Here is a 19043-nt window from a genome sequence, read left to right as displayed (position 1 = left end):
CCAGATCACAACTAGTTATCTGCCCAGTCATTGGCTCTTGGTGCTGTGATGACCCTGCCTTCAGGGTCAAAGTGCTGCCATGGAGCCAACATAGGACATCCCGGTGCCCTAGCCCCATCTTTCCCACTACTGCCAAGACAAACTGCTGATCTTAGATTGAGACCTTGCAGAATCCAAAAGGTTAAAAGGAATAATAAAGGAAACTGCCAATTGTAAGTGAATTATATTTGGCTCTGAAAGCTGAGGCACAGGCTAGATTATAAAAGGCATCTTCTTTGCGTTGTTTACCATCACCCTGACTAATGCAGACCTTTTTTTTGTTGTTGTTTTAAATAATCTCATGCAAATTAGACACAGACACTTCCTTCCAGTTGATTGCTATCTGCAAGGAATAATCTAACTGCAGAGGGACGGAGCAATGGCTGAGCAGGCAGAGAGCTGGAAGCAAAGGGCTTCACCGTCCTGCAAGCCTCCTCCCTCCTCTATTCATCTAAGTCCTCCTTTAGCTGCTATCTTTGGAAGAATTAGTCAATTTTAATAAAGCCCCAAATGTTCTTTTAGTTGAGGTATCAATATGCATTACCTGACACCACTGGCACTAAGCCTTTATGTTCTTCCTATAACTTCCTTTCTGCCACTTGGTGATTTTCAAGAGCCACCAGCTCCCAACCCCCAGCCACCCAGTCTATAGCACTGACAATTAAAATATATTATTGATAGAGAATAACACTAAGAAATTCCCGTTCAGTTACTCTCTCCACCCACTAGCTCTAGTCAAAAGGAGGAGAAAGGGACGAGGGAGCTTCTCTGAGAGGAGGGGAGGCGAAGAGGGTCTGGGCTGACTCTGAGAGGTAAAGAGGCCGCTTCATCTTTTCACATCATAGTTACCTGATATGCAAAACTGAGAGCTCTCAATTCAAACCAAACTCTTTGAATGAAGATTCCATGTGCCCAGAGTGGGGAAGACTTCTTGTTCTCTCAGTTCTCTAGAATCTACTTGCAAAAACCTCCAGAAGAGCTCCCTGGACCGGAGATGACTGCTGCCCTTGTGTAGGAGCTGGGCCAAGCATCTCTTCTCCAGGGTGGGCTTTTTTTTTTAAAAGGACAGAACAAGTGAGCTACATCCTATTGATTAATAAAACCCCAGTGTCACTGCTGCAGTGTCTGACCTGCGTGGCCACAGGGCTGCCACACTTGCCTATTTTTATCCCCTAGAAGATAAACAAATTGGCTTTCTTTTTCTCAAGGTTTCTGTTCAAATGCAAATAAAACCAAACTGATTGACTCTGTGAGCTGCAGGGTACAGGCTGCGATTGTGATGCCCTAGGGTCCTTTCCCACGACTCAGACCAAACCAGGGACCCGGAAGGGCTGTCTTTTCTCTGCGGGACAGGCCGTGCAAGGGTTTCTCAGGATAAGTAACCTCAGCACTGTCCCCAGTGACCGCTGGGCACTGCCACGGGGCTTGGCCCTGTGCAGGTGAAGCAGAAAGACAGATGACAGAAGACAGCAGTGTTCTCTTCATCTTTCAGGTCAAACAACAACCAGGACAGAAGGGTTAGGAAGAGTTTGAAAATAAGCAAGGTAATGAACTCCTGCCAGCGCCTTCCTGCTCAGCCCTAGTTTTATTATAAAAATGTGGCATCTGACTGGGATCACGGGAACAGGGCCAGGGGGCCAGTGACAAACGGTGGCAGTCAAGGGCTGGTCATTGGGACCTCTTCCTCCCCGCTCTGCAGCCCCTCTATTTCTAGGACTTGGCCAATTCATCTGGGACTCATGGACACTGAGAGGGGGTCACCTCTCTCAGAACAACTAAGTTATCTGCCCCGGCACACTCTGGGAGGAGATGAGGCAGAGAAGACAGCTGGCTAAAAATACTTCCCAAATTAAAAGAAAAAAATCAACTCTCTCAGAAAAGGTTCAGGGAGGGGAAGGGGAAAAGTATTTTTATTTTATTTTATGAACATTTTGTTGGAACAGTAGAGTACAATAAGGACTCTCAGAGCCTCTAAAAGTCGTAGGATGACCTGGAGACCCCTATTTCCCAGTGCCTTGTATAAAATTGAATTTTTTAAACATAAATTACACGTAATGACGACACTGTAAAAACTAACAGTAATGGAAAGCTGTGCTGTATTTCATTAGCCTGTATTATTCCGTGCCACCTGATCCAGCCGGGCCTTGTTTATGAGTTAGTGTGTTAGCAGATGCCGATGGAAGCATTTGCTTCGACCTTGCTCTTCTCATTGGGGCATGAAATTACGACGGCAGCACCTTGATATTACAGCCATAAATACAGTAAACTGCAAATTTAAGCCAACGGCTTCTATTGTCTCTGAACATAAAGCTGATCGGTATTTATTTAAAAGGAGAACAAAAAAAATATTATATATCACCTTGTTTATGGGGCCTCCCCCACCCACTTTCTTATCCCCTCCCCCAGCCCCCCAACCTGTCTAATTCACTTGGTTAAAATATTAAGCAGATAAGTCAAACACTTTTTCCTCCACTGATTAACTATTCCCAAGCAGTGAAAACAGTTTCTGAGAAAACTAGTTCCACATGTCACTACCCTGAATGCAAGAGTTTTTATAAGAATTGATCAGATGATGGGGAGTGGCAGGGGGCTGTTTCCCATCATCTTAATATTGATATGTAAATTCAAGAACAAGACCTGAGACTTTCCCCTCTCCTTAAATGAGGGAAGTTCAAACAACAGGAGAAAAAGTTGCTGATGATGCCCTGAAGCTGAATGTCCTCTCGGTATCCTTCTAGAAATCGTTAGGCAGAAACATTATTTCAAAAAGCAGCAAAACACTGCCTCCTGCCACCTAAGGAAAGAAAGAAAGATATCTAACCAAGAAGATAATTCTCAGCTCAACACAGAGAGCTGGGGCACCTCTCATTAAAACTTGCACCAATCCCTCCTTATCCCAGTGAACCATAAAGACAATATATCCTTTAAATACATTAAATGTGGAAGAAAAATAAACACAAAGACAAAAGGACACTGGACATCACCCAGCCACGTCTCCCAGTGTAAATCACTGAGTAAAAAAGCCAGTGCAAAATGTATTTCACTGCTAGCTGAAAGACTGAGGAAACTGGCAGGCTTGTTCCACTCGAAGCCTAAAGAGAAGGCAGGTCTGCTTTCCTAATGTCAACAGAAGAGGCAAAGAGGGATGTAAAAACTCAACCACGTCCAAGTTTGGAGGTTTCAAAGGGCCAGCGGTGGAAACCGTGGAACAACAGCAGGCGAGCCCAGAAGCCACTACCAGTGAGACACACAAAAGGCCGCTTTAACAGTGAATCGAATGTGAGTTTGGGGGAGCAGTTTAATTCCAAAGCAGACAGGCTGGGTTCACGGGGTCCAGTGCTGAGCAGTTTCAATGACATAGCCAAATCAACCAAGATCGAAAGTTTCTGTACATTTACTTTTGATAGGTTATTCCACAAGGCAGACGTACTCCCTTGGAGCCCTAAATTATATCAGACACACCAGTCATTGAGCTTAGCTCCTTCCACATAAGGAGGAAACTTTCCTATAAAATTTATTGAGCTTCTCTGGGGAGTAGTATAACTGGCGAACAAGACAGAAGTGAGCTGCCCCTCTATGTAACACAAATTGAGATCTCTCATATGAACGACTGGGAGGGTTTCCAATCAGCATCCATGATGTCTATTTTTAGATCTATATAATCTAAAGGTTTTTTTTTTCTTTTAATCCCTCTCTGCTAAATTAGAAACAAAAACAAAGAGAAGTTATTTTTGATATTTGATCGATTCCAGAGGATTAATAGCAGGACAAATATCGTTGCGGCTGCCACAGACAGCAGGTCTTTGGCAACAGGTAGAAAAGTCAGCCCTTCCCACAGTATACTGAGTAAGTCCTAGGGAAGAAACTGTGTCCCTAAAGACCAAGGGAAGGGTAATCAGGAATCTCTGCTACTTAAATGCCAAGTAAGCCAAACGTGTGTTTGTGCATGCATGGAAAAGTCAAATTGATAAACACTTTTAGTGATACTTAAATCTTGCTCCTGTTTTCAGAAGAGGTCATGAAGGGTGGTTTAAAAAAAGGAATCAACTTGCCTTTGACAACCAAACAAAGAAATTCAGAACTGCAAGAAAAATTGGAGTTTATCTGACCTCTCTCCTGTTCTTTTTCTTTTTTCCTTCTGTTTTATAGATCAAGAAAAAGGGACAGAGAGAGGGGCATGGACTTGCCCACAGCCCATGTGAGCCCCAGAATTGGATTCCCACACGGGGCTCTCTGTGCTGGGCAGGGGCAGGGGGCGGGGAGCATGGGCAGCCTGACATACCTACTGCCCTCTGCCACTTGACAGAGTCTGCATATTTTAAATAAGCAAACTCTCAGAATTAACACCCCCGAAAGAAGAAAGCCAAAGAGAACATCAGGAGCATGGGGGAAAACTAGGTGAAGGGTACAGAGAAGTCCACACACACACACACACACACACACACACACACACACACACAGTGTGTATACCTGAAAGAAAAGGAGGACAGGAAACTGGTAACACTGGTTATAGAGAGGACTAGTTGCTGGGGAACAGAGATTGAGGAACACTTTTCACTGCCTAGCCTTATGAATTTTGTTCCCTGTGAATAGATTTCTGATTCAAATAAATAAATTTAAGAACAAAGAAAATATTTGGGGAAAACAAACCAACCAGACTTGATCCTTAACAAGATCACAATGGTTCACCCCGTTTTCTGGAAGAGAAAAACCAAGACAGAAGAAGATACAAGCCAAGTCTAGGAGCTAGGATTATAACAGAAAGACACCCACAATTTCTAACTTCTTGCTTAACCCACTGTGGCTGCGACCACAGCAGCCAAGTACAAGGTGGCTTTTTTTTAATGTGTTTTTAAAAGGCAGACATCTGTTCTGTTTTGACACATCCTGGCTGCCCAAATGTTTCTTTCAGCTCTAAATATTTGCTTCACCAATGGAAATGTTTCCATCATTGCAACAAAACAAACATTTGCTTTGGGATGGGAGGGCTAGCCATACGCCGTCTCATATGTTCTTTGAAACAGCCTGATTTGGGAAACAACTCCACTATAAGACACAAATCAAGGTGGAGATTTTTTGTTCCTTTAAGAAAATCTTGTCACAAGAGTTTGGTGCACTAGGGCACACTCTTTAGTCACCCAGCTGAATGCTATAAATGTTCCTTTGGGGTTTTCTTCTGCATCTTGAATCTTAAATATGTGATCAGAAGGTCTATTATTTGGCATTCAGCTTACTTCCTAAAGATTTAAGCTGCCATGCAGGCATCAGATGTTCTTGCAAGTCCTCACATTAATCTGATATTAACACATGAAAACATGCTATGTCCTAATAGGTCAATACATAAATTACTTTGTCACCACCTAGCTGTGTAGCTCAAATGAATCTGGTATTGGTTGCTACTGTCAACATTATTAGTATTGAGATAAATATGTAGCACTCAACCAAATCCATAAATATTTGAGTGCTTATTTACTGCTAGGCAATGTGAGAGTGCAAGATCTCATTTTCCCTACCTGTTAAATGGGAGCCTCCCTAGGACCCCTACCCCCCAGTTTCTTACGTTGAATGAGTTTTGTCTGTTTCTCTATCTGTAATGTATAATAGGTATAGTATATAGAATAATATAGATTATATATTGATAACAAAATGTCAACTGCAGAAAACATGGAAAATAAAGAAAAGCACACAAAAAACAAAAAAGAAATCATTCATATTTCCACCCCTCACTCAAAATAACAGCCAAGTGTATTAAACCCACGTGTAGCAGAGCATTTTAGTTCTTTACATCTTTAACTCTTTGAGCTCCACGCTAACCCTGTGCAGGCCTGCCGAGGGGCACGACTCACGGTTTGCAGGCTCACGGTTTTGTTTGCAGGCTCACGGTTCTGTTTGCAGGCTCACGGTTTTGTGGCACCTCCGAGCAGTGCCAGAAGTAGACACTTGATTCTCCCCATTTACAGGGGAAGAGCCTGAGGCTCACAGACATGAACCGGCCTATCTGAGATCTCACTGCTGCAGGGTGGAGGGCCAGGCTCGGACCCCAGGCCCAGGCTCCTCAGCACTACTCTCTATACAGCATGGGGCGGGGGTGGAATATTCCAAATCCCATTCAAGCTGAAAGGTAACACTGACATCTCTGACTTCCAGCCTATCATTCAGATGTATTGGCAAAGTTATTAAGACTGGAGTTTTTCAAATTAAAAACTGCTTTTAAACAAGAGGATGCCCAATGCCAGTGAGGGTGCTGTGGAAGAGCAAACTGAGAAACTTTGGAAGTCACTTCAGCACTCTATCGCAAGAGTTTTAAAAATGTTCATACCTTTGACTCAATCATTTTGCTTCTAAGAAATAATAAAATAATGTAGTAAAAGACTTATGTAGAAAGCCAGGCTCAGTGGCTCATGCCTGTAATTCCAACACTTTGGGAGGCCAAGGCGGGCAGACTGCTTGAGCCCAGGAGTTTGAGACCAGCCTGGGCAACATAGTGAGACCCCCATCTCTACAAACAAACAAACAAACAAACAAACAAACAAAACTACAAAAATTAGCTGGGCATGGTGGTGCACACCTGTAGTGCCAGCTACTTGGGAGGCTGAGGTGGGGATTGCTTGAGCCCAGGAGGTTTGAGACTTGAATTCAACTTACACTCTGAATTCAACTTACACTTGCTCAGAAGGGGAGAGAGAGGGAAATTACACTACACCCGGTTGGGGTGGGGATGGGCTCACCATTTCACTCCACAAGTGTTGCATCTTCCAGTGAGCACAAGACCGGATGTTTGAACCCGCTGTGCCCTCATCACCTCATTCCCATATACCCTTGCAATCTGAGCACCATGTCACAGGCTATTTTCCCCCACACAGCTTGGCACTCACATGCAATGCAGACTATGTCGTCTGGTATTAAACCAAAGATCTGTTTCAGTGTGACGGAAAATGTGGGCTCTACTGAACTTACTGAGAGAACATCTTTCTAAGGGACTTTTAACAATTATTTTTAAAATTAATGTTTAAAAAATATTTGCACTGTATAAAATTCTAAAGATATAAAAGGGTATACAGTAGCCCACCCTTATCTGTGGGGGGATTCATTCCAAGACACTCAGCGAATGCCTGAAACCACAGATAATACAAAATTCTGTACATTCTATGCACAAATTTTTTTTCCTCTTTCACAATTTCATGGATAGATTTGTTCTTACAATAGATTTTAGCAACCTCAGCATATGATTTTTTTTCTTTCCTTATTAAGTCAAGAGCATTCTCTGTTTCACTTAAAGGAAGCACTTTACGGCTTCTCTTTGACATATCTGAATTGCCAGCATCACTACTCTTGCACGTGGGGTCACTATTAAGTAACATAGAGCTTACTTGAACACAAGCACTTGGATACCATGACCATCGATCTGATCACCATGAGGGCTACTAAGTGACTGCCAGGTGGAGGCGTCCACAGCATGGATAAGCTGGACAAAGGGATGATCCACATCTCAGGTAGGACAGCAGGAGGTTTCATCAAGCTACTCAGAATGGCACACAATTTAAAACTTATGAATCATTTATTTCTGGAATTTTCCATTTAAACATTTTTGGACTTTGGTTGGCCTCGGGTACCTGAAAGCATAAGAGGCAGAACTATGGATAAAGGGGGTCCACTTTATCGTGAAAAATCAGTCTCCTTCCCACTCCTGCCACCCTGTTACATCCTCCAGGGGCAACTATTGCTAAAGCTTCTTATATAAAAAGCATACATGTAGCTGGGCACAGTGGTGGACACCTATAATCCCAGCTGCTTGGGAGGATGAGGCAAGAGGATTGCTTGAGTCCAGGATTTCAAATCTAGGCAACATAGTGAGACTCCATGTCTTTTTTTTTTTGAGACGGAGTCTCGCTCTGTCACCCAGGCTGGAGCGCTGTGGTGCAATCTCGGCTCACTGCAACCTTAGCCTCCTGGGTTCAAGCAATTCTCTACCTCAGCCTCCCGAGTAGCTGGGATTACAGGCACCACCACGCCCAGCTAATTTTTTCGTATTTTTAGTAGAGATGGGGTTTCACTATCTTGGCCAGGCTGGTCTTGAACTCCTGACCTCGTGATCTACTCGCTCGGCCTCCCAAAGTGCTAGGATTGCAGGCATGAGCCACTGTGCCTGGCCAAGACTCCATCTCTTTTTTTTTTAAAAAAAAAAAAAAAAAAAAAAAAAGCACATGTGTGTATACATATGTGTGTCCGTATATTTTTATACAATGATAGCACGCTATACATGCTGTTCTATACCTTGCTATTTTTAATTAGGTTATCTTGGAGGATACTCCATATTAGTATCTACAGAGCTCTCTCATTCTATTTAATGGCTATATGGTTGGTATGGATGTACTATAATTTATTTAACATCCCCTACTGAACCTTTACTGCTACAAACAAAGCCATAATAAAGGACCTTGAATATACCACTTGTACATGTGTAAACTATATCCCTAGGAATAGACTCAGATGTGTGCAGTTTTAATTTTAATAAGACCTGTCAAACCTTCTTCCAGGTTGTTTCCACTCACATTCCCTCAACCTTGCCTACATGATGCTATTAAGCTTTTTATCTTTGCCATTCTGAAAGGTTAAAAAATTGTCTCGTTATTTTATTTATTTATTTATTTGAGACAGAATCTCACTCTGTCACTCAGGCTGGTGCCATCTCGGCTCACTGTAACCTCCGCCTCCCAGGTTCAAGCAATTCTCGTGCCTCAGCCTACCGAGAAGCTGGGATTACAGGAGTGTGCCACCAGCCCTGCTAATTTTTGTATTTTTGTAGATACAGGGTTTCACTATGTTGGCCAGGCTGGTCTCAAACTCCTGGCTTCACGTGATCCATCTGCCTCGGCCTCCCAAAGTGCTGGGATTACAGGCGTGAGCCACCACACACAGCCTCATTATAATTTTAAGGAAACTTTTGTTGGCATTGAATATATACAGAAAAGCATGCACATTTTTAAGTGTACAGCTTAATGAATTTTCCCACGGTGAACACACTTATGTAACTACCATCCAGATCAAAAAATAGAGTAACAGCCTCTAGCAACATCCCTTGTCTCCTCCCAGTCACCACCTAACTTCTAATACCACAGATTCAGTTTGCTTGCTTTTGAATTTTATATATGTGGGATAATACGGAAAGCATTCACACCTGTAATCCCAGCACTTTGGGAGGCCGAGGCGGTGGATCATGAGGTCAGAAGATTGAGACCATCCTGGCTAACATGGTGAAACCCCGTCTCTACTAAAAATACAAAAAAAATTAGCTGGGCATGGTGGTGGGCACCTGTAGTCCCAGCTACTCGGGAGGCTGAGGCAGGAGAATGGCGTGAACCCAGGAGGTGGAGCTTGCAGTGAGCAGAGATCACGCCACTGCACTCCAGCCTGGGCAACAGAGCGAGACTCCGTCTCAAAAAAAAAAAAAAAAAAAAAAAAAAAAAGGTAAACGGCTCCTTTTGTTCAACATTATGCTTGCGAGTCATCCTTGTTGTTACACATAGCCACAGTTCATTCAAATTGTTGTATTGTAGTCTTATACAGTAAAAGAATGTATTTCTAGTTTTGGACCATCTATGAATAATGCTGCTATCAACATTCTTAATATGTATTTTTTTAGGGGAAATGCTCGATTATAGAGTGCACATCTTCTCAGCTTTAACAGATACTGCCAACAATGTCCAAAATGGTCACAGCAATTCACACTCCCACCAGCAGAGTAGAAGAGCTCTAGCTGTCCCACACCCAGCAGCAAAGTTCTCAGTCTTTTCCATTTTAGTCATTCTGGTGGGTGTGAAGGATAGCACATTCTGATTGCAATTTGCATTTCTCTGACAACGACCGAGACTGAATACTTTTTGTTTGTTTATCATCTTCATTGAGTACAGCGTTCTACGTAATAAGGCAAGTTTGTTCATTGTGTTGTTAGAATCTGGATTGCTTTGTCTGTTTGTACTACCAAACATGGAGAAAGAAGTTTTGAAAGAAGTTTTGAAACGTCCCATTATGATAGATTTGTCTAGTCCTCCTTTCAGGTCTGTCCAGTTTTGCTTTACGTATATTGAAGCTATGTTTGTTAGGTGTGTAACTATTTTGAAATGTTCATCTTGTTGGTGATTGACCATTTTATTATTCTGAAATTTTTCTATCTCTGACTCACTTTTTTTTATTTGTTTTGAGACGGAGTCTCGCTCTGTCGCCCAGGCTAGAGTGCAGTGGCGTGATCTCCACTCACCGCAATCTTTGTCTCCCAGATTCAAGCAATTCTCCTGCCTCAGACTCCGGAGTAGCTGGGATTACAGGCATGCACCACTGCATAGAGACAGGGTTTCGCCATGTTGGCCAGGCTGGTCTTGAACTCCTGACCTCAGGTGATCTGCTCACCTCGGCCTCCCGAAGTGCTGGGATTATAGGTGTGAGCCACCACGCCTGGCCTTCTGATTCTACTTTTAAGACCACCTTGTCTGGTATTACTACCGAGTTTCTTGTGGTTAGTGTTTGCATGGTGTATCTTTTTCCATCACTTGACATTTAATCCTTAAATATCTTTATACTAAAGGTGTGTCTGATGCAAGCAGCATTGAGTCTTTTAAATCTAATCTTGACCAACTGCTTTTAATGGAGTATTTACTCCATTTATATTTAATGTAAATGCTGAACTTTGGGGGTTTATATCTTTCATATTACAATTTGTTTTCCTTTTGACCTGTTTAGTGCTCTCTTTTCTCTCCTGTCTTCTTTTTAATTCAGTTTTTCTCTCTATTACCTTGTAGTCAAGGTGGTTTCTGATGGATTTCTCTACTGCAAAGTTACTATCTTTTCTTTCAGAGTTAATAAATAGCTCGGAAAAGACACTTTGCTCTTTCTCTTGAAACCTTCATCTCATTTTAGCACCCGTCAATGGAATTTGTCTGCAACAGTAATTACTGGATGTTTGCCTAATGGGAGATCCTCAATTAAGGGTGAAAGGGGTCCTGAGACTAAAACACTTGCGAACCAACGCCCTAGACATCACAATATATCCTTTACTTACTATAGTGTGATATAAATGAGAAATTTTACTGTTCCCCCAAAGATCCTCGCACATATAACTTTCCCTCCACCCCTCCTTTTGTGTACTGGCATGCATTTCAATTATAATGTATGTTAAAATCCACAAGAAAGACATTCTTATTTTACACAGTCAATATTCGTTGATATGTGTCCTTTTGTTTGTCCTTCATTCTTTCCTGCCATTTCTATGTTTCCATGTAAGATCATTTTCTCTCTGCCTGAAAACTCCTTTAGTGTTTCTTTCAGTACAGTGTGCTGGTGATGAATTTTCTCTTTTTGTTTGCCTGGAAATGTCTGTATTTTCCTTCACTTTTAAAAGACATTCTGTTATGAAATAATTTCTGATTTACAGAAAAGCTGCTGAAAGCATAGTACAAAGAATTCTCATATATCTTTCACCCAGGTTCTTTAAATGTTAAATTCATCACACTCGCTTTATTATTCTCTATTGATCTGTCTATATGATTACTTTCCCTGAACTGTTTGAGACTAAGTTACAGACATCACACCCTACCCCTTAAATATTTCAGTAAGCATGTCTTAATTTGGGGTGGGAGTCGGGGAAGCTCATGCTTGTATATAACCACAGAATAATTATCAAAATCAAGAAGTTAACAATGTTACATTTATATCTGTAGCTCAGATCTTTCCTCTGAACTTGATTCATAATATCCCTCTGCCCACCTGATACCTCCACTTGGATGTCTGATATCTCAAACTTAATACGTCTAACACTGAACTCCTAATCTTGCCCCACCAAACTGCTCCATTCCTAGTTAATGACAACTCCAAACTTGTAGTCACACAAGGCCAAAAACCTTGGAGTCATCCTTAATTTCTACTTCTCTTTCATATCCAGATCCCACAAATCAGGCTATTCTATTGGATTTACTTCCAAAAAAATATCCAGGGAATCTGATCACATCTCAACACTAGACTAGTCTCCCAGCTTCCACCCTGGTGATCCTATTAAACCTTACATCAGATGGTATAACTCCTTGCTTAAAACACTCTGATGATTTTCCATTTTACTCAAAATAAAACCAAAGTCCTTACCAAGATACTGTTGCCCTACACAACCTTACTCCCTGTGAATGCTGTGACCTCGTGTCTCACTGCTATCCACCTGGCCTACCATTCTTGTTCCTGGAATTTGCCAGACACAACTTCCTCTTCAAGCTTCTGCATCGGTCATTCCCTTTTCCTGAAACTCTTTCTACCCAGAAATCTGCATGGTTTGCTTCCTCGTTTTCTTCAAGTTTTTGCTCAAAATGTTATCTTAGAGGGGCCTTTCCAAACCATCCCATTTAAAATAGCAAATTCCTAAGAAGAATCCTCTATTGCTCTTACTCATGTTTATATTTTATTCTATTTACTGTCTTCTCCCTCCCACTCTACCATTGCATTTGGGGTTATTTTATTCACTGCTATGTTCCTAGTACCTAAAACACCTAGGTTCTACTGGCACCTAGTAGGTATTCAATAAAAATGTGTAAAAAGCCAGGCGTGGTAGCTAATACCTGTAATCTCAGCACTTTGGGAGGCTGAGGCAGGAGGATCACTTGAGTACAGGAGTTCAAGACCAGCCTGGACAACATAGTGCAACCTCACCTTTTTAAAAAAAAAAAAAAAAAAAGCTGGGTGCAATGGTGTATATTTGTAGTCTCAGCTACTAGGGAGGCTGAAGCAGGAGGACTGCTTGAGCCCAGGAGGTCAAGGCTGCAGTGAGCCATGACTGCACCACTGCACTCCAGCCTGGGTGACAAAACAAGACTCTATCTCAAAAAAAAAAAAAGTGTAGAAAGAATAAATAAACGGAAACCCCAATATGTAAAACAGACAAAAGTAATGTTCAGGTTTTGAGAGGTCCGGAGGGGTACGGAGAAAAATCAGAGTCCCACCTTCTTGATTCCCTCTTTGCCCCTGAAATATCTCCTCAGAATCTCCAAGAATCCCCAGAGGTAAGTATAAAAACCGTTACCAGGCCAGGTATGGTGGCTCATGGCTGTAATCCCAGCACTTTGGGAGGCCGAGGAGGGACAGATCACTTGAGGTCAAGGAGTTCAAGACCAGCCTGGCCAACATGGTGAAACCCCCGTCCCTAATAAAAATATAGAAATTAGCCAGGTGTGGTGGCAGGCGCCTGTAATCCCAGCTACTCAGGAGGCTGGGGTGGCAGAATTGATTGAATCCGGGAGGCGGAGGTCACAGTGAGCTGAGATCGTGCCATTGCACTCCAGCCTGGGCTACAGAGTGAGACTCCATCTCAAAACCAAACCAAACCAAACAAAACAAAATGCCTGTTACCATATATTCACCCTGTACTAAATAAAGCAAACTAGTTTATTCATCAGCCCCTGATATGCCTTATACTCTGGAGAGAGTCAGGCATCAGTCTTCCACCCCTGATGTTCCAGCCATCAGAGTAGCTTCTTCCCAACCCTACTCTGAGCTTGTCAGTTGTTCCGGGTTATCTCTTCCATCACCAAAGCTCCTCTGTGATCACCCTAGGTAGAAGTACTTTTCTACAGCAATTACTATCTAGACAATACTCCTCTGGTTGTCAAACATAGATGGCTTTGTAACCTTTCTTTTATCTTATATGGTTTTCTGAGGATTTTAATGGTGTTGAACTTTTATTCTCTGCCTTATTCATTACTGTATCCCCAAAACCTAAAATACTGATCAACCCATAGTGGTCATTCACCAAATAATTGTTCAATGTGTGAATAAATGTGAATAAAGCACACTGGTGCTTCATGAATTGCAGATTTTCAATAGCTGTAAGATATATTTGTAGTACTTCATGATAATCCCTTTTTTCCCCTCTTAAAAAAAAAAAGCTGTTTATCATAAAACTCATTATCACTGTCATCATTAACATTTAACATTATTCTTGGAGTTTCATCCTATGTAATAAAGCAGGAAATAAAATTAAAATGTCTATGAACTAGAGACAAGTTTACAAAATAATCAATTGACCATATACCTATAAAATTTAATTTAATCATGAGAAAGTGGGATGGCAAGATATAGTACATAAAATTAAAAATCAGTAGCACTCCTATGTACCAGCAATAATTAAAAAATAAAATGAAGAGAAATTCCTTTCATAATAGCCATGAGAAATATAAAATTACTATAGTCTTACAAAATGTTAGATCAGTATAAAGAAATGTTGCAAAGAGAAATAAAGGGAGACAAACGAAAAAGCCTTTCAAATTATTTTATTTTTATTTTATAAATTATTATAAATTTATAAATTATAAATTAAATAAAATATAAATTATTATAAACTTATAAATTATTTTATAAGTTTAACACAATTTCAATTAAAAAATCCCAATTATTTTAAATTATCTCAGATGTTCCTCAAGCTTATCTGGGAGAATGCACAAATAAGAATAACAAGGATTAGCCAGGCACGGTGGCTCACGCCTGTAATCCCAGCACTTTGGGAGGCCAAGGTGGGTGGATCATAAGGTCAGGAGTTCAAGATCAGCCTGGCCAAGATGGTGAAATCCTGTCTCTACTAAAAATACAAAAATGAGCAGGGTATGGTGGCGGGCGCCTGTAATCCCAACTACTCGGGAGGCTGAGACAGAGAATTGCTTGAAACCAGGAGACACAGGTTGCAGTGAGCCGAGATTGCACCACTGCACTCCAGCCTGGGCGACAGAGCCAGACTCTGTCTCAAAAAAAAAAAAAAAAAAAGGATAACAAAGATCCTCGTTTAACACCAAGGTCAGAGGCAACAAGAATGGAAACAGGTTTCATTCTGCCCTCATGGGATTCCAGACTGCTCTTAATTTTCCTTTTCTGACTACCTGCCATGTAGACTTCAAGCTCCAGCCTCAGACGTGGCAACAGCATACTATTTCCCATTGGTTCTGCTTCTCTGGTTGAACCCTTCCTGAGACAGAGAAGACTGTTCTTTTCCTTTGTCGCTCATATCAATAGGACACTTATTTGTTAATTTATGTGTCAGCTGCTTCCTCCACTAGAAGCATAACATAGTGGTTAAAAGCAAAAATTAGAAAAAAAGGTGGCTTATGTTTTAATCCTGGCTCTGACACTTAATAGCTATGAGTCAGGTCCTTCATCTGTAAAATGGGAATAAAGTTGTTATAAAGATTAAATAAGGTACTACTTTTATAGATCAATGCCTGGCATATATAAGCAGCATATGAACTTGATGAATAAAAATATAATAAAAATAATGCACTGAAAAAAAAAAGAACAGCTAGGAATGTTCGGTAGTCCATTCAGTATCCTCTTCTGGATATTTAAATATTTCTTAGTATTTTTTTTTAAGTGGTCCCTCTAGGGATTACAATATACATTCTTATCAGTCTACTCTGAATTAATATTACACCATGTTACATATTAAGAACTTTAATATGATACATATAATTGTATGTACTATACTGTATTATTGTTTATATTGATAATACATTTTATTAAGAATCTTGGCCGGGTGCAGTGGCTCACGCCTGTTTGGGTGCAGTGGCTCACGCCTGTAACCCCAACACTTTGAAAGGTCAAGGCAGGTGGATCACCTGAGCTCAGGAGTTCGAGACCAGCCTGGGCAACATGGTGAAACTCTGTCTCTACTAAAAATACAAAAATTAACCAGGCGAGGTAGCATGCACCTGTAATCCCAGCTACCCGGGAGGCCAAGGCAGGAGAATCGCTTGAACCTGGGAGGCAGAAGTTGCAGTGAGTTGAGATGGTGCCACTGCATGCCAGCCTGGGTGACAGAGTGAGATCCTATCTCAAAAAAAAGAAAAAGAGTCTTAATTCCATTTACACCCCTTCTGTCCTTTGTGCTCTTGTTGTAAAATGTTCATTACATATAAATATATGAGTATACTATAAATCTAACACTACATTATTGTTATTGCTTTAGTCAACTGACTTTTACAGAACTGAAGAATTAAAATAAAATAGTATTGTATATTTTCCTATGTATTTAACATTCCCACGGCTCTTTATCCCTTCCTGAAGACCCAAATTTCCATCTAGTATTGTCAGAGGCATGTGAACCAGAACAACTCCATCTTGAGTAGGAGCTGGGTAAAATGAGGCTGAAACCTACTGGGATGCATTTCCAAACAGCTGAGGCATTCTAAGTCACAGGGTGAGACAGAAAGTCGGCACAAAATACAGGTCATAAAGACCTTGCTGATAAGACAGGTTGCAGTAAAGGAGCTGGCCAAAACCCACCAAAACCAAAATGGCCATGAGAGTAACATCTGGTTGTCCTCACTGCTACACTCCCACCAGTGCCATGGCAGTTTACAGACGCCATGGCAACATCGGGAAGTTAACCTCTATAGTCTAAAAGGGGGAAGCATGAATAATCCACCCCGTCTGGCATCTCATCAAGAAATAACCATAAAAATGGGCAACCAGCAGCTCCCAGGGCTGCTCTGTCTGTGGAGTAGCCATTCTTTTATTCCTTTACTTTGTTAATAACCTTGCTTTCACTTTGCACCGCAGACTCGCCCAGAATTCTTTCTTGTGTGAGATCCAAGAACCCTCTCTTAGGGTCTGGATTGGGACCTCTTCCCTAACAGATTTCTCTTTCTTGTAACAGTATTATCTCCTCTTCAATGGGAAGATCTCACACAGATATTTATTCAATGCATGTCTGCTGGTGACAATTTCTCTCAGCTTTTATCTTATAATGTCTTTATTTTTTTCCTTCATGTTTAGTGGTATTTTCACTGTACAGAGAATTCTAGATAAAGTGTCTTTTTTCTTTCGCCATTTTGAAAACATCATTCCATTGTCCCGTGTGCTACACTGTCTCTGATTATGAGTCAGCCATAATTCTCATCATTGTTCCCTTTTTATTTAATATTAGCAGTTTCACTGTGATACACCTCGATGCAATTTTCTTTGTTATTTATCCTACTTGTAATTGGCCACACTTCCTGGGCTGCTGTTTGTGTGGGGTTACTTTAATCAAAATTGGAAATTTCTCAGCCAATATTGCTTCAAATACTTTTTCTGCCTCATCCTTCTCTGCTTTTTGGGAGTACTGCTGTCACCCTATGTTAGACAGCTTGATTTTTGTCCTGCAGGTCATTAAGGCTCTGGTCCTATTTTTATTCCAGCTATTTTTCCTCTCCATACTTCAGTTTGGATGATTTCTGTTTACCTGTCTTCAGGTTCACTGATGCTTCCTTCTGTTATGCCCAATCTGCTGTGTCTCTCACCCAGGGAAATTTCAGTGTCAGGTTTTGTGTTTTTCAGTTCTAAGATTTACATTTGGTTCTTTTTCACAACTTCCTTATCTCCACTGCAACTCCTCACCTCTTTACCCTTTCTCCCATTTTTTTCATGTAAATTCTTTTAACATATTTGTTCATAGTTAAAGTTACTGTTCACCTGTGAATTTGTTTCTATTAACTGAGTTTTCATTTCAGTAAGGGTCACAGGGTCCTGTTTCTTCTCACATCTAGTAGTTTTTTAATTTTATACTGGATGTTGAAGGTGATAGTTTGTAGAGGCTCTGGATTCTGTTTTCTTCTGCAGAATTCAGTTTTTTCTAGTAGACAGTTAAATCACCTGTAGATCTGGTGTAGGCACAATTTTATGCTTTATTTTTGTTTTGCCCTTAGTCCTAGGGAAAATGCCATAGCCCTGGGGAGTAGTATTTGCCCCTAAGGGGTAGCCCTTCTGGGATTTCAAAGCAAAGTCCAAGGTGTTTATCGAATCGCCTCTAACTTGACAAGACTCCACCTCCAAATTCTCTCTCTCCCACAGCAGGCAGCTACTGAAATCTCTGCTGGAATCTGTGGCACTTCCCCTGTGCATGGGCAGTTCAGCAGTTAGTCTAGCATGTGAGGGGTGTTTATATGTACTTCGGGGTGATCCCCAGCATGGTTCTCTCCTTTCTATGATTGCCATCTTCAATTTCCCGACACACAGTCTCAAAATATCCCCTGATTCCTCAAACCAATATGACACAGCTTTCTGCTTGAGTTCTATTTGCTAGCACCTGATGGATTGGGGAATACCTCAAGGAAAAAGCCTTATAAAGGTGGCTCCCCTGGGTGGGGTCTTTCTTTCAAGAATCAAATTCACTCCAATTTCTGCTTGCTTTTGGTGGCTCTCCAGTACCTTCAAACTATATTTTTAAAATACTGTGTCCAGGCTGGGTATAGCAGATCACCAGGTCAGGAGATCAAGACCATCCTGGCTAACACGGTGAAACCGTCTCTACTAAAAAAAATACAAAAAATTAGCCGGGCATGGTGGCAGGTACCTGTAGTCCCAGCTACTCAGGAGGCTGAGGCAGGAGAATGGCGTGAACCCTCCCAACTCAGGAGGCGGAGCTTGCAGTGAGCCGAGATTGCGCCACTGGACTCCAGCCTGGGTGACAGAGCGAGACTCTGTCCAAAAAAAAAAAAAAAAAAAAAAAAAAAAAAAAAAAAAAAAAAAAAAAATATATATATATATATATATATATATATATATATGTATAGTGTCCAAAATTTATTTTTGTTGTTGCCATATGGGAGTATTATTCTAATACAAGCTACTCCACCATGACTGAAAGCCAAGAACTCTCAGAATTGTTTTTTGGTTTTTTTTTTTTGGTTTTTTTTTTTTGAGACAGAGTATTACTTTGTCACCCAGGCTGGAGTGCAGTGGCACAATCTCGGCTCACTGAAAGCTATGCCTCCCAGGTTCAAGCAATTCTCCTGCCTCAGCCTCCCAAGTAGCTGGGATTACATGCATGTGCCACCAAGCCCAGCTAATTTTTGTATTATTAGTAGAGATGGGGTTTCGCCATGTTGGCCAGGCTGGTCTTGAACTGTTATCCACCTGCCTCTGCCTCCCAAAATGCTGGCATTACAGGCGTGAGCCACTGCGCTCGGCCTCAGAATGTTTTTTAAAGAGAAGAATGATGAAGT

The 19043-nt window shown here is 41.3% G+C and overlaps 1 protein-coding gene across 10 annotated transcripts in view, besides 5 other annotated features; it reads right to left on the bottom strand.

Moving 5' to 3' along the window:
- Window positions 1-19043, bottom strand: part of PEX14 (peroxisomal biogenesis factor 14) — a 155809-nt gene that overhangs the window by 34624 nt on the left and 102142 nt on the right. The window lies entirely within an intron of this gene.
- Window positions 1016-1533: an enhancer, noted in NCBI's record as "H3K27ac-H3K4me1 hESC enhancer chr1:10654659-10655176 (GRCh37/hg19 assembly coordinates)". NCBI's record gives its function as "activates a minimal SCP1, AML or CMV promoter by ChIP-STARR-seq in primed H9 embryonic stem cells {active_cell/tissue: H9 hESC(primed)}" and the evidence as "EXISTENCE:reporter gene assay evidence [ECO:0000049][PMID:30033119]".
- Window positions 1482-1531: an enhancer, noted in NCBI's record as "active region_154". NCBI's record gives its function as "activates an Ori minimal core promoter by ATAC-STARR-seq in GM12878 lymphoblastoid cells {active_cell/tissue: GM12878}" and the evidence as "EXISTENCE:reporter gene assay evidence [ECO:0000049][PMID:35858748]".
- Window positions 1534-2051: an enhancer, noted in NCBI's record as "H3K27ac-H3K4me1 hESC enhancer chr1:10654141-10654658 (GRCh37/hg19 assembly coordinates)". NCBI's record gives its function as "activates a minimal SCP1, AML or CMV promoter by ChIP-STARR-seq in primed H9 embryonic stem cells {active_cell/tissue: H9 hESC(primed)}" and the evidence as "EXISTENCE:reporter gene assay evidence [ECO:0000049][PMID:30033119]".
- Window positions 4829-5123: a silencer, noted in NCBI's record as "tiled region #3136; HepG2 Repressive DNase matched - State 8:EnhW, and K562 Repressive non-DNase unmatched - State 23:Low". NCBI's record gives its function as "represses a minimal TATA promoter and a strong SV40 promoter by Sharpr-MPRA in HepG2 and K562 cells {active_cell/tissue: HepG2 | K562}" and the evidence as "EXISTENCE:reporter gene assay evidence [ECO:0000049][PMID:27701403]".
- Window positions 9795-9864: a silencer, noted in NCBI's record as "silent region_248". NCBI's record gives its function as "represses an Ori minimal core promoter by ATAC-STARR-seq in GM12878 lymphoblastoid cells {active_cell/tissue: GM12878}" and the evidence as "EXISTENCE:reporter gene assay evidence [ECO:0000049][PMID:35858748]".

Source organism: Homo sapiens, chromosome 1, assembly GCF_000001405.40.
Source record: "Homo sapiens chromosome 1, GRCh38.p14 Primary Assembly".
In the NCBI taxonomy this organism is placed as follows: Eukaryota; Metazoa; Chordata; class Mammalia; order Primates; family Hominidae; genus Homo; species Homo sapiens.
This window is presented reverse-complemented; position numbering and strand designations above follow the sequence as displayed.